At 57.8% G+C, this 18,588-nt stretch overlaps 1 protein-coding gene across 3 annotated transcripts, besides 10 other annotated features; it reads right to left on the bottom strand.

The window, feature by feature from the left end:
- On the bottom strand, nucleotides 84-17,453 carry PIK3R2 (phosphoinositide-3-kinase regulatory subunit 2). 3 transcript variants are annotated; one of them, NR_073517.2, is made up of 16 exons: nucleotides 17,322-17,453; nucleotides 14,415-15,159; nucleotides 10,053-10,145; nucleotides 9,647-9,697; nucleotides 9,431-9,562; nucleotides 9,121-9,337; nucleotides 8,565-8,650; nucleotides 8,306-8,414; nucleotides 8,110-8,208; nucleotides 7,469-7,649; nucleotides 7,228-7,353; nucleotides 4,314-4,505; nucleotides 3,310-3,486; nucleotides 2,070-2,141; nucleotides 1,720-1,890; nucleotides 84-1,529 (listed from the first exon to the last, which is right to left on the bottom strand). NR_073517.2 is itself a non-coding variant. In NM_005027.4 (16 exons), exons 2-16 carry the CDS (start codon nucleotides 14,734-14,736, stop codon nucleotides 1,322-1,324), a joined length of 2,187 nt encoding a protein of 728 aa, NP_005018.2. In that variant the 5' UTR covers nucleotides 14,737-15,159; nucleotides 17,322-17,453; the 3' UTR covers nucleotides 84-1,321. The 3 variants fall into 3 exon arrangements, 1 of the variants encoding a protein (NP_005018.2); NM_005027.4 differs by having other exon boundaries at nucleotides 4,314-4,456; NR_162071.1 differs by lacking the exon at nucleotides 9,121-9,337 and having other exon boundaries at nucleotides 2,066-2,141; nucleotides 4,314-4,456.
- Nucleotides 2,033-2,182: an enhancer, noted in NCBI's record as "active region_14302". NCBI's record gives its function as "activates an Ori minimal core promoter by ATAC-STARR-seq in GM12878 lymphoblastoid cells {active_cell/tissue: GM12878}" and the evidence as "EXISTENCE:reporter gene assay evidence [ECO:0000049][PMID:35858748]".
- Nucleotides 9,029-9,528: a silencer, noted in NCBI's record as "silent region_10375". NCBI's record gives its function as "represses an Ori minimal core promoter by ATAC-STARR-seq in GM12878 lymphoblastoid cells {active_cell/tissue: GM12878}" and the evidence as "EXISTENCE:reporter gene assay evidence [ECO:0000049][PMID:35858748]".
- Nucleotides 9,687-10,236: an enhancer, noted in NCBI's record as "H3K27ac-H3K4me1 hESC enhancer chr19:18271190-18271739 (GRCh37/hg19 assembly coordinates)". NCBI's record gives its function as "activates a minimal SCP1, AML or CMV promoter by ChIP-STARR-seq in naive H9 embryonic stem cells {active_cell/tissue: H9 hESC(naive)}" and the evidence as "EXISTENCE:reporter gene assay evidence [ECO:0000049][PMID:30033119]".
- Nucleotides 11,020-11,224: a silencer, noted in NCBI's record as "fragment chr19:18270202-18270406 (GRCh37/hg19 assembly coordinates)". NCBI's record gives its function as "represses an EF-1alpha promoter that drives an FKBP-Casp9 reporter gene in an ReSE screen in phorbol 12-myristate 13-acetate-treated (for megakaryocytic differentiation) K562 erythroleukemia cells {active_cell/tissue: K562(+PMA)}" and the evidence as "EXISTENCE:reporter gene assay evidence [ECO:0000049][PMID:32094911]".
- Nucleotides 13,132-13,990: an enhancer, noted in NCBI's record as "H3K27ac-H3K4me1 hESC enhancer chr19:18267436-18268294 (GRCh37/hg19 assembly coordinates)". NCBI's record gives its function as "activates a minimal SCP1, AML or CMV promoter by ChIP-STARR-seq in naive H9 embryonic stem cells {active_cell/tissue: H9 hESC(naive)}" and the evidence as "EXISTENCE:reporter gene assay evidence [ECO:0000049][PMID:30033119]".
- Nucleotides 16,583-16,802: a silencer, noted in NCBI's record as "silent region_10374". NCBI's record gives its function as "represses an Ori minimal core promoter by ATAC-STARR-seq in GM12878 lymphoblastoid cells {active_cell/tissue: GM12878}" and the evidence as "EXISTENCE:reporter gene assay evidence [ECO:0000049][PMID:35858748]".
- Nucleotides 17,113-17,492: a silencer, noted in NCBI's record as "silent region_10373". NCBI's record gives its function as "represses an Ori minimal core promoter by ATAC-STARR-seq in GM12878 lymphoblastoid cells {active_cell/tissue: GM12878}" and the evidence as "EXISTENCE:reporter gene assay evidence [ECO:0000049][PMID:35858748]".
- Nucleotides 17,113-18,080: a biological region, named in NCBI's record as "NANOG-H3K27ac-H3K4me1 hESC enhancer GRCh37_chr19:18263346-18264238".
- Nucleotides 17,188-18,080: an enhancer, noted in NCBI's record as "NANOG-H3K27ac-H3K4me1 hESC enhancer chr19:18263346-18264238 (GRCh37/hg19 assembly coordinates)". NCBI's record gives its function as "activates a minimal SCP1, AML or CMV promoter by ChIP-STARR-seq in naive H9 embryonic stem cells {active_cell/tissue: H9 hESC(naive)}" and the evidence as "EXISTENCE:reporter gene assay evidence [ECO:0000049][PMID:30033119]".
- Nucleotides 17,603-17,882: an enhancer, noted in NCBI's record as "active region_14301". NCBI's record gives its function as "activates an Ori minimal core promoter by ATAC-STARR-seq in GM12878 lymphoblastoid cells {active_cell/tissue: GM12878}" and the evidence as "EXISTENCE:reporter gene assay evidence [ECO:0000049][PMID:35858748]".

The following is an 18,588-nucleotide window of genomic DNA, read 5'->3' as shown; positions in this document are numbered from 1 at the left end:
CTGCTGTGACCCCCGTAGACACCAGGGTCCCCGACACGCAGAGGTGGTACTGAAGCCCAGTCACTGACAACAGAATCACCCACGACGTTTGATGTTTTATATCATATCAATAACAACGTACCGTACAAAACCTGCCTCCCAGCTCGTGGGGCAGGCAGTGTGGTGGCCAAGGGCAGCGTAGAAAACCAGGGCTCTTGTCCCAAAAGAGGAGAGGAAAGAGGGTTTTGCAGTCAAGGAAAAACAGAATCAAAACCCAACATGATCGAAGAGAAGCCCTGAATCTGCATCAGAGGGAGGGGCCGTGGGCAGTGTCGCAACTTGGCCACTGCGGCGGCACCAGTACGGGGAGCTGTGATTCCTAGGAGGGGTTGGGGCCAGCTCACAAGTTTATTTATTTATTTTTTTGAGACGGAGGAGTCTCCCTCTGTTACCCAGGCTGGAGTGCAGTGGCACGATCTCTGCTCACTGCAACCTCCATCTCCTGGGTTCAAGAGATTCTCACGCCTCAGCCTCCCAAGTAGCTGGGATTACAGGCGGCCGCCACCACGCCCGGCTAATTTTTGTATTTTAGTAGATGCGGGGTTTTGCCATTTTGGCCAGGCTGGCCTCCAACTCCCGACCTCAAAAGATCCGCCCGTCTTGGCCTCCCAAAGTGCTGGGATTACAGGCATGAGCCACCGTGCCTGGCCTGCGAGTTTAATTATTTTTTCGGGGGTGGGTGAACTTCTCGCAGCGGCCCCCTTGTGGGGGTAACCCGGTGGCGGGTTTCACTTCGGGGTTTGGAGGGGAAGTTGGAGTCTGTGGGGCGGGTCCCGCCCGGCCCCGAATGTCACGGCCGAGGTTCTCGGAAGCAGCAGAGTGAAGTTCCTTCCTGCCCTGACCCCAGGTCTATGGCTTAAAAATCAGGGTGCCCAGGCTGGGGCCGCGCAGCCCAGGGGCCCTCTGTAAACATGGCAGGTGCAGCCAGAAGGGGCTTCCGGGACCCCGGGGGACCTGCGGTGGGCAGGGCAGAGGGTCAGGGTGACCAGAGCCATGGAGAGGGCAATGCCCGGAGGACACGTAGATATGGGGTGGGGGAGTTAGGACCCCCAACATGGAGAGAGACAGGGGCCAAGAAAGACAGAGAAAAGGAGACAGAGGGAGATCTGGAGAATGGGGGAGGGAAGGAAAGAGAAAGAGGGTGAGAGAACCCCAAACAAGAGCCAGAGCCGGAGAAATGAGGACCCCTGGATGTGGCTGGTCTGGTCCGTGGCTCCCGCCGCCGCAGCCTCCGGCGCAGACGGGCCCAGGGGCGGCTCTGCTTGGGGCGGGTCCTCGGTGCTCAGCGGGCGGCAGGCGGCGGGCCGGGGCCCGGGGCGCGCACTGGGTGCGCCAGGGTGACGGTGAGCGCGTCGTTGTGCTGCACCAGCGAGGCGTGCTGGTAGTGCAGCACCAGCTCCTTCAGCGACCCGTACAGGTTGTAGGGCTCCGCGAAGCCGAAGCCGGTGGCCGTGCGGTAGATGACGCAGTGCTTGGTGTCGCCGTCCACTCTGTGGGGGCAGACGAGAGGGGGAGTCGGAAGGCTGGCCTCCCCGCCAAGCTTTCCCCGTTCCAGGGCCGCGTGCTCCCCTGTCCCGGATGACCCCACCAGGGACTCCTTCCCAAGGCCTGGCACGCGGCAGGCATTCAATGAGAGCTCTGGGAGGGACGCGGGAATCCCCACCGCTGCGGTCCACTCACACCACGGAGCAGGCGTAGCAGCCCCGCTGGCTGCTCTCGCGGATGAGGAAGGTGCCATCCCGCTTGCCACTCAGCATCTCCTCTGCCTGCGTGCGGTTGATCTTGCCCACGTACCAAGTGCGTTCCTCGTGGTGCGGGAGATCGTCCTCGTCCTCCATGAGTGCGTACTGGCTGGGGTGGGGGGCGGTGGCGGGGAGGGCCCTGGTCACTCACCTGCCAGCCTCCGAGGCTCCCCAGCTGCCTGGACAACTTTTCCTCCCTGGTGAACTCCTACTCATTCTTCGAAACCCACCCCAAATGGCCCCCTCCTCTGGGAAGCCCTCCCTGCCTCCCTCCAGACGGTCACTCACTCCTCAGTCTCATTTTTAATCCCCAGCCACTCGTTGATTTTCTTCTGCCGGGCGCCTTTCTGGGTGAGCCACCTGAGAAGGAACAGGAAAGGTGGGCTTGTGCAGTTGTGTGGGTGCTGAGCCCACAGTGGGCCTGTCCGGTGGGAGGCAGGGTCTGGCTGAGGAGAGAGGGTTCTGGGTACAATATCTCCGGTTGCCACAAGAGGGCAGAGCTGACCTGGCTCAGGGCAGCCTGAACCCAGGGTGGCTCGCCCAGCTCTGCTGGGGAACCCTGACCCACACCCCTCATTTTTTTGTTTCTGTTAACGCCTATGGAGTCCCCCAAGAAGATGCCAGCCCAGGCCCCTCATCATCACCAGAGGCTCACTCCAGCACTGCTGGCCTTTGCACAGGGCAGCTGTCGGTTCTGTGCCTCAGTCTCCCCAGCTGTAAAGGGCAAACTTTACAAAGGGCTTGAAAAGGACCAAATGAACTCATAACGAGCACGGTGCTTAGCACAGCACCTGGCACGCGACAGTGCCCTCCCTGAGGCCCAAGAGGGAGGTGGAGGCTCTGGCTGAGGTCTTCAGGAGGTTGGTGGGTGGGGGCAGGATTTGAACTGATTTGAACCCAGGACAGGGCTGCCGCAGCCACCCAGCATGGTAGGTTGCACAGCAGGCGATTTTTTTTTTCTTTTCTTTTCTGAGGCAGAGTGTTGCTCTGTTGCCCAGGCTGAACTGCATTGGCATAATCTCTGCTCACTGCAAACTCCACCTCCCCGTTCAAGTGATTCTCCTGCCTCAGCCTCTTGAGTAACTGGGATTACAGGCGCCCACCACCATGCCTGGCCGGGTTTTGTATTTTTTATTTTTAGTAGAGACGGGGTTTCACCATGTTGGCCAGGCTGGTCTTGAACTCCTGGCCTCAAGTGATCCATCTGCCCGCCTCAGCCTCCCAAAGTGCTGGGATTACAGGTGTGAGCCATTGCGCCCAGCCCAGCAGGAATTTTTGTGGAAGGCTTCCAACTTTCCACAAAATGGAATGGGATAGGAGTGACACTCCCATTGCACACACCTCTGACTAAGCTGAGGCTGACCTATGGGAAAACTTTCAAGGGGCCCGGGAGGAACCGAGTTTAAGGGGTCTCGGGGCCCAGGAAGGGCCACTTGGTGGAGAGAGAGAGACTGAGACTCCTAGAGAGATCTCCATGTGCCGCAGCAGTCGCCAGGGAGCCGCAGGGAAGTATGGAGCCGCCACTTACACGAGGTACTGGTCTCGGATCTTGCGCAGCTGCATGAGGTCCGGCTTGAGGCTGTTCATGCGCTTGTCGATCTCTCTGTTGTCCGAGGCCTGGGCCCGCAGCTGCTGCTCCAGCTTCGTGCGGCTCTCATGGATCTCGGCAATGCGGGACTTGAGCCGCTCGGAGTTCAGCAGGATCCTGTGGGAGGGGTGGGGTGGCGCAGAGACCTCAGGGTTTTATCTCGGCTCACTGCACCCTCAAACTCCTGGGCTCAGGTGACCCTCCTACCTCAGCCTCCCGAGTAGCTGGGACCACAGGTGTGCACCACCATGTCTGGCTAACATTTTAATATTTTTTGTAGAGGTAGATTTTGCCATGTTGCCCAGGCTGGTCTCAAACTCCTGGGATCAAGCAATCCTCCTGCCTCAGCCTCCCACAGTGTTGGGGTTGCAGGAATGAGCCACTGCACCCGGCCTCCAGGGTTTTCTCAAGGACCTACTTTGCACCAGACTATGTGCTTCCAGCCTCTGAGCCTGTGCATATGCTGTTTCCTCTGATTTCTCTTTCTAGCAAACTCCTATTCATCCTTCAAAGCCCATTTCTTTTTTTTTTTTTTTTTTGAGACAGTCTTTCTCTGTCACCCAAGCTGGAGTGCAGTGGTGCAATCTCGGCTCACTGCAACCTCCAACTCCAGGTTCAAGCGATTCTCCTGCCTCAGCCTCCCAAGTAGCTGGGACTACAGGTGCGCACCATCATGCCTAGCTAATTTTTGTATTTTTAATAGAGACAGGGTTTCACCATGTTGGCCAGGCTGGTTTCAAACTCCTGGCCTCAGGAGATCCACCCGCCTCGGCCTCCTAAAGTGCTGGGATTACAGGCCTGAGCCATCGCACCAGGCCCAAAGTCCATTTCAACAGACTACTCTTTGCCTCCAAGTGGCTGGCCTCCTTCTGCTTCCTTCCCTCCCTGGCTTGTACTGCACCAGATCAGGGTGGGGTGGGGCAGGGCAGAGGCGCCAGACTCACCTTTGCATCTCTTTCTCGTTGCCCTCACGCCGGAAGCGCTCCAGGTATTCCTTGCTGCATTTCTCTTGAGTCTGGCCCTGCTCTTCAAAGATCTTGATAGTCTCATTGAAGGCCTCAATTGCAGTACGCTTCATCTGCAGCTCCTGGAGGAGGGGGCGCAGCTCAGCACCTCCTGGGACTCCCCAAAAGGCCCTCGTGAGGGGTAAAGGCACATCTCAACTCTGATACGGAGACTGCTCAAGCTGGTCCCTCTATCAGAGTGTCATTCTTCTAACGCCTGCTGCACCAAATGAACTCCTATTCAGCCTTCAAAACCCCACCCCCCAAACCCTCTTCTTCTTTACATCCTCCTATAGGTATCCACAAACACCTGGACCTGTTAACACTGCTAAGAATGAATGACAGATCTAGTTGCTACAGCTCACAGGGCTTCTTGGGGGAGATGCCGCACTACGACTTTCCTTACTTTGTCCCATGGACCCTTCCAACAACCCCTAACAAAGTAACAACTATTAACAGAGAAACTGAGGCTCAGGGCCAAAGTCAATTCTGAGGTTACAGTGCTCCTAACTGATCCTGGACAACTGTCTTGTCCATTTAGAGCCTCAGCTAACACATCAGTAAAAAGGGGACAGAGGCCAGGGGTGGTGGCGAATGCCTGTAATCCCAGCTAGTAGGGAGGCTAAAGTGGGAGGATCTCTTGAACCCTGAGGAGTCTGAGGCCAGCCTGGGCAACATGGTGAGACAGCACCTCAAAATTTTTTTTGTTTGAGATGGAGTCTTGCTCTTGTCGCCCAGGCTGGAGCAGTGGCGTGATCTTGGCTCACTGCAACCTCTGCCTCTTGGGTTCAAGTGATTCTCCTGCCTCAGCCTTCCAAGTAGCTGGTATTACAGGTGTGAGCCACCATGCCCGGCTAATTTTTTTTTTTTTTTTTTTTTTGAGACGGAGTCTCACTCTGTCCCAGGATGGAGTGCAATGGTGTGATCTCGGCTCACTGCAACCTCCACCTCTCAGGTTCAAGCTATTCTCCTGCCTCAGCCTCTTGAGTAGCTGCGATTACAGGTGCATGCCATGACGCCTAATTTTTTGTATTTTTAGTAGAGACAGGGATTCACCATGTTGGCCAGACTGGTCTTGAACTCCTTACCTCGTGATCCACCTGCCTCAGCCTCCCAAAGTGCTGGGATTACAGGCTTGAGCCATTGTGCCTGGCTCGGCTAATTTTTTTATCTTTTTGGTAGAGATGGGGTTTCACCATGTTGGCCAGGCTGGTCTCAAACTCCTGACCTCAGATGATCTGCCTGCCTCGGCCTCCCAAAGTGCTGGGATTACTGGCATGAGTCACTGTGCCCGGCCTACCTTTTAATTTTATTAAATTTTTTTTTTCTTTTTTTTTTTTTAACTTTGGGAGGCCGAGGCAGCCAGATCACTTGAGGCCAGGAGTTCGAGACCAGCCTGGCCAACACAGCAAAACCCCATCTCTACTAAAAATACAAAAATTAGCCAGGCATGGTGGCACGTGCCTGTAGTCCCAGTTACTTGGGAGGCTGAGGCAGGAGAATCGCTTGAACCAGGGAGGCGGAGGTTGCAGTGAGCTGAGATCATGCCACAGCACTCTAGCCTGGATGACAGAGCAAGACACTGTCTCAAAAAAAAAAAAACAAAACAAAAAAAAGAGGACAGAAAACCCTTAGGGTACTAGGGACGACTGAGGAATTCCCAGCTGTTCCACCTGAATCTATTCCCTCTTAACTTGCAAAAGAAGCTTATTAGCACAGTCCTTGAGTGACAAAACCTTTCACTTAATTTTTATTTTATTTTTTTAAGAGACAAAGTCTTGCTATGTTACCCAGGCTAGTCTTGAACTCCTGGGCTCAAGCGATCCTCCCGCCTCAGCCTTCCGAGTAGCTGGGATTAGAGGTGCGCGCCCTGCACCTGGCATGATTTCATTTTGAATAACATCTTGGTTGAAGGGGACATAAGTAATCAAGGTGCCTGGTTCCATTCTGCAGATGGGAAAACTGAGGGCCAGCCGGAGATAGGCTCATCCTGGACACTCCCCAGGTCCTGGCTCAGCCACTCCTGTGAGGCTGGTTGGGCCCTTCTCATCTGTCCTTTTTTGGTTTTGTAAAAGCTTGTACACTTATTTTTTTATTTTAATTATTATTATTTTTTTAGATGGAGTTTTACTCTTGTCACCCAGGCTGGAGTGTAGTAGCACGATCTTGGCTCATTGCAATCTCTGCCTCCCAGGCTCAAGCGATTCTCCTGCCTCAGCCTCTGAGTAGCTGGGATTACAGGCGTCCGCCACCATGCCCAGCTAATTTTTGTATTTTTAGTAGAGACAGGGTTTCAACATGTTGGCCAAGTTGGTCTCGAACTCCTGACCTCAGGTGATCCACCCATCTCGGCCTCCCAAAGTGCTGGGATTACAGGCGTGAGCCACCCCACCCAGCCTCGTACGCTTATTTCTGTTTTTAGAGACAAGGTCGTGCCCTGTCACCCAGGCTGGAGTGCAGCAGCATGATCACAATTCAATGCAGCCTCAAACTCCCAGGCTCAAGGGATCCTCCCACCTCAGCCTCCTGAGTAGCTGGGAGTAGAAGCATGCACCACGACACCCAGTTAATTTTTAAATTTTTTTGTAGACGGGTCTCCCTATGTTGCCTAGAAGGATCTTGAACTGTTGGGCTCAAGTGATCCTCCTGTCTCTGCCTCCCAAGTACACAGACGGGAGCCACTGTGCCTGGCCTTATTTCTATGTTTTTAGAACAGCCCTTGGTGCTAAGTGCCTGCTCTGTGACCTGCAACTGGATATTCATCCTCAAGTCCTCTGGGGTTGGTCATCCTGCTCCCGGCCTTGCCACTGCCCCTCTATGTCTCGGTTTCCCTCATGTACGGGGCCTGGAGTACCTGGGAGGTCCGTGTGTACTCTTCATAAAGCTGGTCATACTCGCGGCTCTTGTCCTGGTACTGCTGGTGATAGACCTTAAGCTGGGCGCCCACTGCCTCCACGCTGTCCTCCTTGACAATCTGGTCCTGGAGATACGTGGCGGAATGAGGGGAGATGCATAGCCTGGTCGGGTCTACCTAGGAAACTGAGGCCTGGGGCCAGCCAGGTGCTACCCTCCCTGGCTCCCAGGCCAGCACGGACCTGCTGGTATTTGGACACAGGGTAGAGGAGCCGTGTGTCCAGCTTGGCATTGTACTGGGCCAGAGACTCGTGGCGGTAGTGATTGATGAGGTCCACAACGGAGCAGAAGGTGAGTGGCTCTGAGAAGCCATAGTGCCCATCTCGGTGGAAGACCTTGATCAGCTTATTGTTCCCGCCTTTCCTGGGGGAGGAGAGGGGTGTCGGCACCCAGTGGGACCCCGCACCTGACCCTCAATCCCTGTCCCCTTTTTTTTTGAGACAGAGTCTTGCTGCTCTGTTGTCCAGGCTGCAGTGCAGTGGTGCGATTTCGGCTCACTGCAACCTCCACCTCCCGGGTTCAAGCAATTCTCCTGCCTCAGCCTCCCGAGTAGTTGGGATTACAGGCATCCATCACCATGCCTGGCTAATTTTTTTTTTTAATTTTTTAGTAGAGACGGGGTTTCACCATGTTGGCCAGGCTGGTTTTAAACTCCTGACCTCAGGTGTTCTGCCAGCCTCAGCCTCCCAAAGTGCTGGGATTACAGGTGTAAGCCACCGTGCCTGGCCCTCCATTCTTGAAACCGCACATGTTCTATCCCCTCTGAACTCCCGGTCTCTGTGACCTGTGACCCCCGGTTATCCTTGCAGGGACAGGCCCCCACCTGAGGGTCAGCGTGTACTCGCCCTGGATCTTGCTAGAAGCATCTCGGACTAGGAAGGTGCCATCGGGAGTGTCCCGGAGTTTCTCGTTCACCTCCTCCCTGTGGGAACATCCAACATTGGGACTGCCGAGCCACCTGGAGACCCCGCTCACCCTGTGACACCTCCTTGGTCCCTGGCCCCCTGCCAGCAACCTACCTTGAAATGTCCCCCCAGTACCACTCAGCATCCTGCAGGGAGGGTGGGCTCCCTCCATTGGCCAGGACTGTGGAGGCCGGCTTTGCCTTGGGGGGTTTAGGCGGCAGCGCTGGGGGACAGGAAAACAAATGCATCCTGAGCACCGACTGTATACTGTGGCTGCCTCCCACTGCAACCAGCCTGCTGATGCCGGCAGCACTCAGGGATCAGTATTTACGGCCCCCAACGGGAAGAAATGACAGCAATACAGGGGACTCACCTGGGGGCGCAACCTCCTGCTCTTCCAAGTGTTCCTGAAGCAGCTTCTCCACCAGCAGCGCCGGGAAGTCAGGGCTGGGCTCACTCCTTAGGGGGAAGGGGAGTGTGGTGAGGGCTGGGTAGGGCCTGTCCGCCCACGCATGTGCACAGGATTGTGCGTGCGCTTGCACGCCTGGGGGTATATACGAGACAGTATGTGCAGGGCGGAGGAGGAGATGATACAGGCACATGTGCGAGGCCAGCTCCCTCATAGCTGTATGCAGTAAGTGCTCCATAGATTCTCACACAAAGGCGAGCGAGAGACCAGTACCGGAGCTGCGACGAGCAGAAGGGAAGGTGCAGGCACCACCCACATGCTTCGGGACTAGGCCCCTTCACCTTCTGTCCCACGACTCAGGAGCCCAGGTCTCCGCTCCGTCATCACAAGAACGCAGCTTCTCACTCTGGACCCCATCCCCTCCCTTCTTAGGGTCTAGACGCCGCTCACTCTGGCCATGCCCCGCCCGCCCCACCCCAAACTCCACCCCTGCTCGCTCCGGCTCCGCCCCGCCCCTCACCCGTCGGGAGCGCCCCCTGGCGGCGGCGAGGACGGCGGCGGCGGCGCGCGCAGCAGCAGCGGCCCAAAGGTGGCGCCCAGGGCCCGGACCGCGGGACCCAGGGCCGGGGCGCGGCTGGCCACGCGGCCCAGGTGCTGGAGCAGGAAGCGCAGCGTGAGCGCGCGGTGCAGCGGCAGCGTCGGTGGCTCCAGCGCCGGCCCCACGGGCCCCGCGGCCTCTGCGGACAGATGGCCAGGGCAGGGTGAGCCAGGCCTGGGCCCTCCCACCCGCTACAGCCCCCTCCTTCCCCCGGGCTACCCGCCAGGCTCACCCCGCAGGGCCCGGCGCGCCTCGGCCGAGGCCTCGGGGGTCACGAGCGGCGCGGGCAGTGCCAGCAGGAAGCTCTTAATGCCGTCAGCCAGGGCTGCCGTGTCCCACTGATCCACGTCGCTCAGGGACCAGTCTGCGGGTGCAGGGGGGCACACGTCCAACTCATGTGTACTGGGGCCCCCAGCCTCCTCCCAACCCCATTGAGGCTCCCCTTCACCTGTACGCGGTGCGGGCAGCTCCGGGCGGTAGTGAGATTCGCTGTCCAGCCCTGGGGGTGAAGGGGACAGGCGAGTCAGCTCTCAAATGCTGCCCCGACCTCGTGAGGCCTGGACTGGCCGCTCAACCCCCCTGCAGTCTCCCTTTGCTGCCCAGAGATAAGGGCATGGGAGGGGTGGGGAGGGAGAACTGGGAGAGGGCACAGCACATGCAGTGGCCTGGTCATGTTCACCTTCCCATCTTCCCTTAGGAGTCACTCTGTGCCCTATTCAACATAGAGGCCCAGGGCATCCAGGCTCAGCCTGTTTCCGTGCAGCATGAGCTTGGAGGCCCTGTGAGAGGATGAGTCGCCTGTCACTAGAGGTAAGCAAGCAGAATCCAGGGGCTGCAGCCAGGCTGGAACTTACCTGTCCTTTCAATGGCCTCCACAAGCTTCACCAGAAGAGGGGGAGCCACATCAGGTGGGGAGAACTGCTCGGGCAAGTCGGGGAGTGTGAGGCCTGGTGGGGGAAACAGGGGGGTTGCATGTTGGTGGGGTTCCTGGAAGGAGCCCAGCCCCTCTCTTTGCTGGCTGAACCTCAGCTGGGGCAGTTTGAGGCAGGGCCCAGCTCAGGCAAGTGCTTGGCACCTTGACTCCCATCCGCAGGAGGCTGCAAGACCTTGGGTGGAGGGGCTGGGAAAGGGCAGAATTGATGGGACACAATTTTCTGGGTTAGAATATGAGGAGTTCACACAACTTCACAGACTAGGTGGAGTGCGCTGAATAAAGTCCCCAAAAAGATATGTCCAAGTCCTCATCCCTGGTACCTGTGACCTTATTTGGAAATAGGTCTTTGCAGGTGTAAGGAAAGCAAGAATCTGTACATGAGACCAGCCTGGCATTAGGGTGGACACTAAACCCACTGGCTGATGTCCTTGTAACAAGAGAAAGCCGGCCAGGATGGCGGCTCAAGCCTGGAATCCCAGCACTTTGGGAGACCGAGGTGGGTGGATCACCTGAGGCCAGGAATTCGAACCAGCCTGACCAACATGGCGAACCTGTCTCTACTAAAATCAGAAAAATTAGCTGGGCGTGGTGGTGGGTGCCTGTAATCCCAGCTACTCGGGAGGTTGAGGCAGGAGAATCGCTTGAACCCGGGAGGCGGAGGTTGCAGTGAGCCAAGATTGCACCACTGCACTCCAGCCTGGGCGACAGAGCAAGACTCCGTTTCAAAAATAAGTCAACAGGCCGGGTGCGGTGGCTCATGCCTGTAATCCTAGTACTTTGGGAGGCTGAGACCAGCAGGTCACTTGAGGTTAAGAGTTCAAGACCAGCCTGGCCAACATGGTGAAACCCCATCTCTACTAAAAATACAAAAAAAAAATGAGCCAGGTGTGGTGGTGCGCACCTGTAATCCCAACTACTCAGGAGGCTGAGGCAGGAATTGCTTGAACCCAGGAGGCGGAGGTTGCAGTGAGCTGAGATCATGCCATAGCACTCCAGTCTGGGTGACAGAGTGAGACTCTGTCTCAAAAAAAAGAAGAGAAAGCCAAGGCAGAGACTGGAATAATCAACCCATGCATGAGAGGAATGAATGCCTGGAGGCACCAGAAGCTGCAAGGAAGGAAACTTCAGAGGGGGCACGACCCTGATTTTGGACTTCCAGCCTCCAGAAACATGACAGAATAAGTTTCTGTTGTGGTGGGGTGCAAAGGCTCACGTCTGTAATCTCAACACTTTGGGAGGCCAAGGCAGGAGGATCCTTTGAGTCCAGGAGTTCAAGACCAGCCTGGGCAACAGAGTGAGACCCCATCTCTTAAATAATTTAAAAAAAAAAAAAAAAAAAGGAGGCCAGGCGCAGTGGCTCACTCCTATAATCCCAGCACTTTGGGAGGCCGAGGTGAGCATATCACTTGTGGTCAGGAGTTTGAGACCAGCCTGACCAACATGGTAAAACCCTGTCTCTACTAGAAATACAAAAATTAGCCAGGCGTGGTGGCACGTGCCTGTAATCCCAGCTACTCGGGAGGCTGAGGCAGGAGAATCGCTTGAACCCGAGAGGCAGAGGTTGCAGGAGCCAAGATTGCGCCATTGCACTCCAGCCTGGGCGACAAGAGCGAAACTCCATCTCAAAACAAAACAAAACAAAACAAAAAGATACATTAATTAATAAATAACATTTCCATTGTTTGAAGCCACCTAGTTGGTGGTAATTTTTGCGGCAGCCACTGAAAGTCATATAGCAGGTTTGGGCTCTGCCACAACCTGCTGTGCAATCTTGGCCACAGGACCTGCCCTCTCTGGGCCTCAGTTCCTTCAAATGAAAAATGGGCCAATGACATTGCCTCTCATTTTTTTTGAGACAGGTTCTTGCTTTGTCACCCAGGTTGGAGTGCAGTGGCGCAATCCTAGCTCACTGCAGCCTCAAACTCCTGGCCCCTAACGATCCACTTGCCTTGGCCTCCTCGTTTTTTGTTGTTGTTGTTGTTGTTGTTTTTTTGAGATGGAGTCTTGCTCTGTCACCCAGGCTGGTGTGCAGTGGCATGATCTTGGATCACTGCAACCTCCATCTCCCGGGTTCAAGCGATTCTCGTGACTTAGCCTCCTAAGTAGCTGGAATTATAGGTGGGTGCCACCATGCCTGGCTAATTTTTGTATTATTTTAGTAGAGATGGGGTTTTACCCTGTTGGCCAGGCTGGTCTTGAACTCCTGACCTCAAGTGATCCACCCGCCTTGGCCTCCCAAAGTGCTGGGATTACAGGCATGAACCACTGTGCCCGGCCCGCTTCTCCCTTCTTGATGCAAACAAAAAAGTGGTTGAAAGGAAAGAAAAGAAAAATATCCCGGCCTGGGTCAGAACAGCTTCCTTCCAAGGACCATGACCCGTTTTCTTAATCATTTTGCTTCTAAAAAATTATTTCTTCCCCAAATTAAAATTTAGAAAAGAAAGAAAATTATTGCTCCCCTTTTGGAAAAGCTGAAACCCCTCCTAGCGGGTGCCGGCGGCATCCTGGGCCCAGCCCCCTCCCAGCCCTGGCTTCCCAGCACTACAGGGCCTTTTGTGTGCAGCATCCCCGCCTCAGCAGCTCGCTGTCTGCCACCATTGGACGCTGCTCTGGCCCTCGGCGGGGACGCCCTGGCACACAGCAGGGGCAAGCCGGGGCCTGCGGGGCCTCCCTGAGTGATGGGCCAGGTGGCGCCTCAAGCTGGAGAAAGGCCCAGCTGCAACGAAAACGCCAAAAAAAAAAAAAAAAAGGAAAAGGACAAGGAGGAGGTGGAGGTGGGTGACACTCTGGCCGGTGGGTTGGGAAACTCAACCCTGAGAGTGGCCTGGGATCAATCTGCAGAATGGGGAGGGGGTTCCCATCAGAACTGCATCACCCCGACTTTGCAGGTGAGGAATTGTGGGTCAGAGGGGCTGCAACCTCCCCCGTGGGTGCACAGCCAGGTGGGGCTCAGGTGACTTCAGCACATTTCCGAGGGGTTGGGTCCCAGCATCCCCAGGGACCAACCCTGTTGTTTCCAGATGAGGAAACTGAGGCCTCGAGGGGGCGGGTTCTGGCCGAGGTCACATAACCCTGGAAGATTCAGAGGGTGGGGCTGGGCAGCCGCCCCACGTGGGGCCGTGTATGGTGGCTGGACAGAGGCCAGGCAGAGGAGGGAGGTGGCTGTTACCAGGGGGAGAGGCAGATTCTGGCTGGGAGCCCAGACGGGGCCACCTCCTGCTCCTTCAGGCCGAGGCAGGACGCAGGCCTGGGCCCTGGAGATACCAGATGCCTGGAGGCTGGGGCCAGCGTCGCACCACCTCAGCACCCCCTATTCCGCCCTGCGCTGGGGGACTCTGGTTTGCCTTTGGGCAATGTCACCCTGGCACAAAGCAGGCCTGGCACCTCCCGGGGCTTTGGCCTCCCTGGGTGACCAACTGGTTTCAAGTACGGCATTTGACGGCCTTGCACTCAGGCCTCCCGGTCTGCACACAGGGCCTTTTGCTGGGCTGCTGGGAGGGTCGGAGCAGACCATGCCGAGCATGCAGCACCTCTTAGCCTCCTCCTTGCAACCTGGGCCACAGTTTCCCCGGCCAGAGCCCACACTCCCTGCCCATCAAACAGCAGTCACTGAGTGGGCTCGGTGCCCCCGATTCTCTACACCTGGCACACCCCTGGCAAGTGGTGATGGCCAAGGGTCTTTGAAGAGGGATGTGGGGTCCTCATATCCCACTGTGCTGTGTGGCCTCAGCTGAGCAGCCCACATCCTACCCTCCTTGTGGCTTCATTTTGGAAATCAGGGTCTCCAAAGGGGTTCTTCAAGGGACCCTGTCTGCAAAAGGCAGGATGAAGCTAGGCTGAGCCTCTGAATCCTACTGAACACTCTCCATTGTCCTCAAAATCAATCCCACTAAGTCCTCCATGCCAGCGCACATTGCCCTCCCCTTCCTCCCTCTGGTCCTCCTGCTGGCCGTTCCCGCCATTAGAGTTCTACTCCACAGCCTCTGCCCTCGCTGCCCCCACTGCCTTGAGCTTCCACCCTCGCATCTTCCCACGCAAGCCCCCTTCCTCATGGCATGTGTCACCTCCTGAACCCACTCTCATCCCTTCTTGAACCAGAAGCTCATGAGGGCAGGAACAGGCCTTGTGTCCACTGCTGAGCCTAGCACTGAAGACACTTGTCAAATGACCAAATGTCCTTTTTCCTCCTTCCTTGGAGATCCCATTGCCTCACTGGACAGAAGAGGAGACCAAGGGTCTGAGGGGACCACCCCCCTTTCCAGGGCCCCTGCTTGCTGCTCACCTGGCTCAGGGGCCCCATCACGGGGCCTGGCGGGCAGTGGGCGGGGGCCCCGTGGGCGAGGGCCGGGCCGGGCCAGGGCCACGGGCCCCAGGAACTCCACATAGGTGCCAGGGAAGTCACCTCGCTGCCGTGTGCGCTCGTTGAGGCCGGGCATCCAGCCCACGCTCTGTGGGCAGCGCTCGCCACCCTCGGCCACGCCCAGCGCCTGCAAGGCCGCCCGGCTCACTACCAGCACGTCGCCGGGCAGCAGCTCCAGGTCCTCCGGCCGCTCCCGGCGGAACGGGTACAGAGCGCGGTACTGGAAGCCCTCAGGGCCCGCCATGGCCGCGTGAGTGGGGTGGGGTCTGGATGGTTAGGTGGCTGCTTGGAGCCCCACTGGCCCCATTGGTTGAAGCAGGGCTGGGAGGGTCCGCTGGGTTGGCTTGGGGTGCTGGGACCTCTATCTCCAGCAGTCACAGGCGACCACAGGGGCCGCTCATGCCTCGCTTCAAATTATTCCATGACCCTTACAAGGGCCACTCGTCACTGGGTCCACCATTCGTCAGCTGGTGGGAGGGAGTTGGTGGTGTGGTGTCAGGTCACTGGGCCATTGAGTCCTCCATCAGCAGGTGAGGCTGGGGCAGGCCGCTCACGCCCTCACACGGAGGGCCATGGGCGCCCAAGGCTGGCGGCTCTGCTGGCTGCACCAGACAAGGGAGCCAAGGGTGCAGGCTGCCACCATGCTCGGCCAGCTGAGGACGCCGACCTAGGGAGACAGGGATAGGGCAGCGTTAGCCAGGCCAACTCCTCTCACCCCCAACACGGAGATGGGCCCAAATCCTGATTTGGAATTCCCTGAATCACTGGGTGACCTTGGGGCCGGTCCCTCTCAGGGCCTCAGCTTCTCTATCTGTAAAATGGGTATACTGACAGCCTTCCCTTGGAGCTGCTGGGAGTAGAGTTCCCAAGAACCTGCCCCAGGTATACTACATGCTCAGTAAATCAGTTTTTTTTTTTTTTTTTTTTGAGATAGAGTCTTGCTCTGTCACCCAGGCTGGAGTGCAGTGGTGTGATCTCAGCTCACTGCAACCTGTCTCCCAGGTTCAAGCAATTCTCCTGCCTCAGCCTCCCGAGTAGCAGGCCACCACACCCAGCTAATTTTTGTATTTTTAGTAGAGACGAGGTTTCACCATGTTGGCCAGGCTGGTCTTGAACTCCTGACCTCAAGTGATCTGCTCGCCTTGGCCTCCCAAAGTGCTGGGATTACAGGCATGAGCCACCTTGCCCAGCCTTTTTTTTTTTTTTTCCAATAGAGGTGGGGTCTTGCTATGTTGCCCAGGTTGGTCGCAAACTCCTGGGCTGAAGCAGTCCTCCTGCCTCTGCCTTCCAAAGTGTTGGGATTACAGGTGTGAGCCACCGCGCCCGGCCAGTAAACAGGCTTTTCATCACCCCTGTTACAGATGGGGAAACTGAGGCTCAGAGCAGGGAGGTATCTAGGGCCGTGCAGTAGGCCAGGAGGAAGCCAGGACTTACACCTAGATCTGCCGACTTGGCCCAGTTGGACATGAGGGGGCAGCAGCCAGGTGGCCAGATACCTAGGGCAGGGAGGACGCAATGGAGGCCACTCCGGGTGCTTTGGGAGCTCCATAGAGGGGTCAGGCCAGCTGAACTAAGAGGTAGGGAACAAAGTCCAGGAAGAGGCCTCTACACAAGCAAAGGCCTCGAGGTGAGTCCAAGCAAATGGACCTCCAGTCTCTGCAGAGGAGGAGTGAGTGGGCTGGCAGGTAGCTCCAGCCTGGGGCCCAGAGTAGGCACAAAATGCAGATGGGGAGGTGCTTAGAAGGAACCTTAGCCCCAGGCAGGGACAGGGAGCCAGGAGAAGGTGGGGGTACTGCAGCTGAGGAGGAGGGGAGGCTGCCGGCAGCAGGGCATTGATTATTCCCCAGGAGTCCCAGCCTGGGGAGGCGGAGATAGGCACACATTCCCAGCCTAGCCCTGCGGGTTCAGACGCCCTGTGATGGACAGGGCTAGGGTCGGGGGATGGACGTGCTGTTCTAGAGAATGGATCATCACAGCGGATAGGAAGGCGCGACAGGCAGACGGAACGGCACATGCAAAGCCTTGGCAGTGGGTTAAGTTGCTTGTCAAGGATTCAGGGTGGCTATAAGGATAGGTGCTATCCACCAAGAGGCCCGAGTGTCAGGTGGAGGCTCTGAGCATCCTTCAGTCACGGGGAACCCCAAGAGGTGTCCGAGCAGGGCGGAGGGGCGCCACATTCTCGGGTGCCCAATTTACCCATTCCTAGGCCTCTGTTACCCTCATTCTACAGGTGGGGAAACTGAGGCCCCGAGAGGGGATGCCCAGAAAACCGCCTGGATCTGCCTGCCAGCCCGCCCCCACGCCCCGGTGTGCGCGCCCCGGGAGCAGCGCTCCCCGAATCCGGGAGGCGGGAGGGGCGGGGCAGGCAGGGCTGGGGGCTCCGCGGGTGAAGGCAGGGCCTGAGCGCTCACACAGACGCGCACTTGGGTCTGCGTGGACCCGGCCACCCGGCTAGGGGACCGGAAGTGGGTTCGACCCCCGGCCCTCCCGCACCCCATTCTGCCCCGCACAATGCCTGGGCGCCCCTCGGTACTATTCGAAGCCCCATTCCAGGCAGGGCCTCCCTTCATTTGGGGCCTCGGCTCCAGTCCGGTATCTTGGACGCGGGGAGTCTCTCCCCATTCTGCCCCGACCGTCCCAAGGAGGCTGCACCGCTGCGGAGCCGAGCCCGAGGCCCCCCCTTGCCTGCGGCCCCCCCAGTTCCCGCGGGGCCCGACGCAGCCTGGCGCTTGCGTTCTGGCTTCCACCGGGGCCCGGCACTGCCCCCGGGCGCCCCGCATTTAAGCACACTCCCAGCCGCCCCCGCCACGAGGGCCAGTCAGGACTCACCTGGTCGCGGCCGCCACCGCCGCCGCAGCCGCCGTCACACCAAGCCAAGCCCGCCCCGTGGCTCCACCGCGGCCACCGTCGCCGCAGCCGCGGGATCCCCGCCTCCGCCGCCGCCACGGTTCCGAGCGGCCTGGCCCGCCCCCGGCGGAAATGCCCGAGCGCATTCGAGCCGGGCGGATGAACCGAGGCCGAGGCGGAGCCTGAGGTAAGGGGGCACCCGAGTGTTTCCGGAAGTAGCCGAACGTAATCCCGCGGGACTGGTGGACTAGAGGGTGCCCCCGAGACAGCCGAGCGTTTCCAGAGGTAGCCGAGTGCAATCGGGTCGGCGAGGGATCCGAGACTGGGCTCGGCTGGGCTTAGAGACGCCCGAGCGCTTTCGGAAATGGCCGAACACTCTCTACGGCCGCACTGGCACAACTGAGGCTGATCCCCAAGACCGCGGAGCGTTTCTGGAAATAACCGAATGTGCTCAGTGCCCAATGGAGGCCTTGGGAGTTTAGACCCAGAGGCGACCGCCAGCTTATGGGAATTACTGAAGCATAGATGGTTCCAGGGGACAAATGAGGCGTTCTCAAGCTCAGCAAACAGGGGGCAGTAGAGTGGGGAAAGGGCCTGCCGCAAAAAGCAGAAGTCGGAGAAAGCCAGGGTTGAAGGAGTTTCCATGGCAACCCAGAGCGTCCGGAAACAGCCAACGATCTCGACCCCTACGGGCACTAGAATTTAGCGGACTTGAGCCTAGATGCCGACGGTTTCCGGAAATAGCCGAACGCACTCGGAGATGGGGCTGTAGCCAAGAGTGTTTGCATGCCGGCTGAGCGCCCCGGAAGTAACGGATTGCTCTAGGGCTGGGCCGGGTTCGGCTAGAGGGAGTTTTATGGCAGAGCGCAAGCTAAGACCAGGATAGAAAGGACGCGACGATTGCTTATTTTGTTATTATTTTTTGAGACGGAGTTTCGCTCTTGTTGCCCAGGCTGGAGTGCAATGGCGCTATCTCGGCTCGCCGCAACCTCCACCTCCCGAGTTCAAGCGATTCTCCTGCCTCAGCCTCCCGAGCAGCTGGGATTACAGGCATGCGCCACCACGCCCGGCTAATTTTGTATTTTTAGTAGAGACGGGGTTTCTCCATGTTGGTCAGGGTGGTTTGGAACTCCCGACCTCAGGAGATCCGCCCGCCTTGGCCTTCCAAAGTGCTGGGATTACAGGCGTGAGCCACCGCGCCCCGCCGCTTATTTATTTTATTAACATAGCCCAGGGCGCCCAGGAGGTC

This window comes from Homo sapiens, chromosome 19 (genome assembly GCF_000001405.40).
Source record: "Homo sapiens chromosome 19, GRCh38.p14 Primary Assembly".
Lineage (NCBI taxonomy): Eukaryota > Metazoa > Chordata > Mammalia > Primates > Hominidae > Homo > Homo sapiens.
The sequence above is the reverse complement of the archived record's forward strand: the minus strand, read 5'-3'. Positions and strand labels throughout refer to the sequence as shown.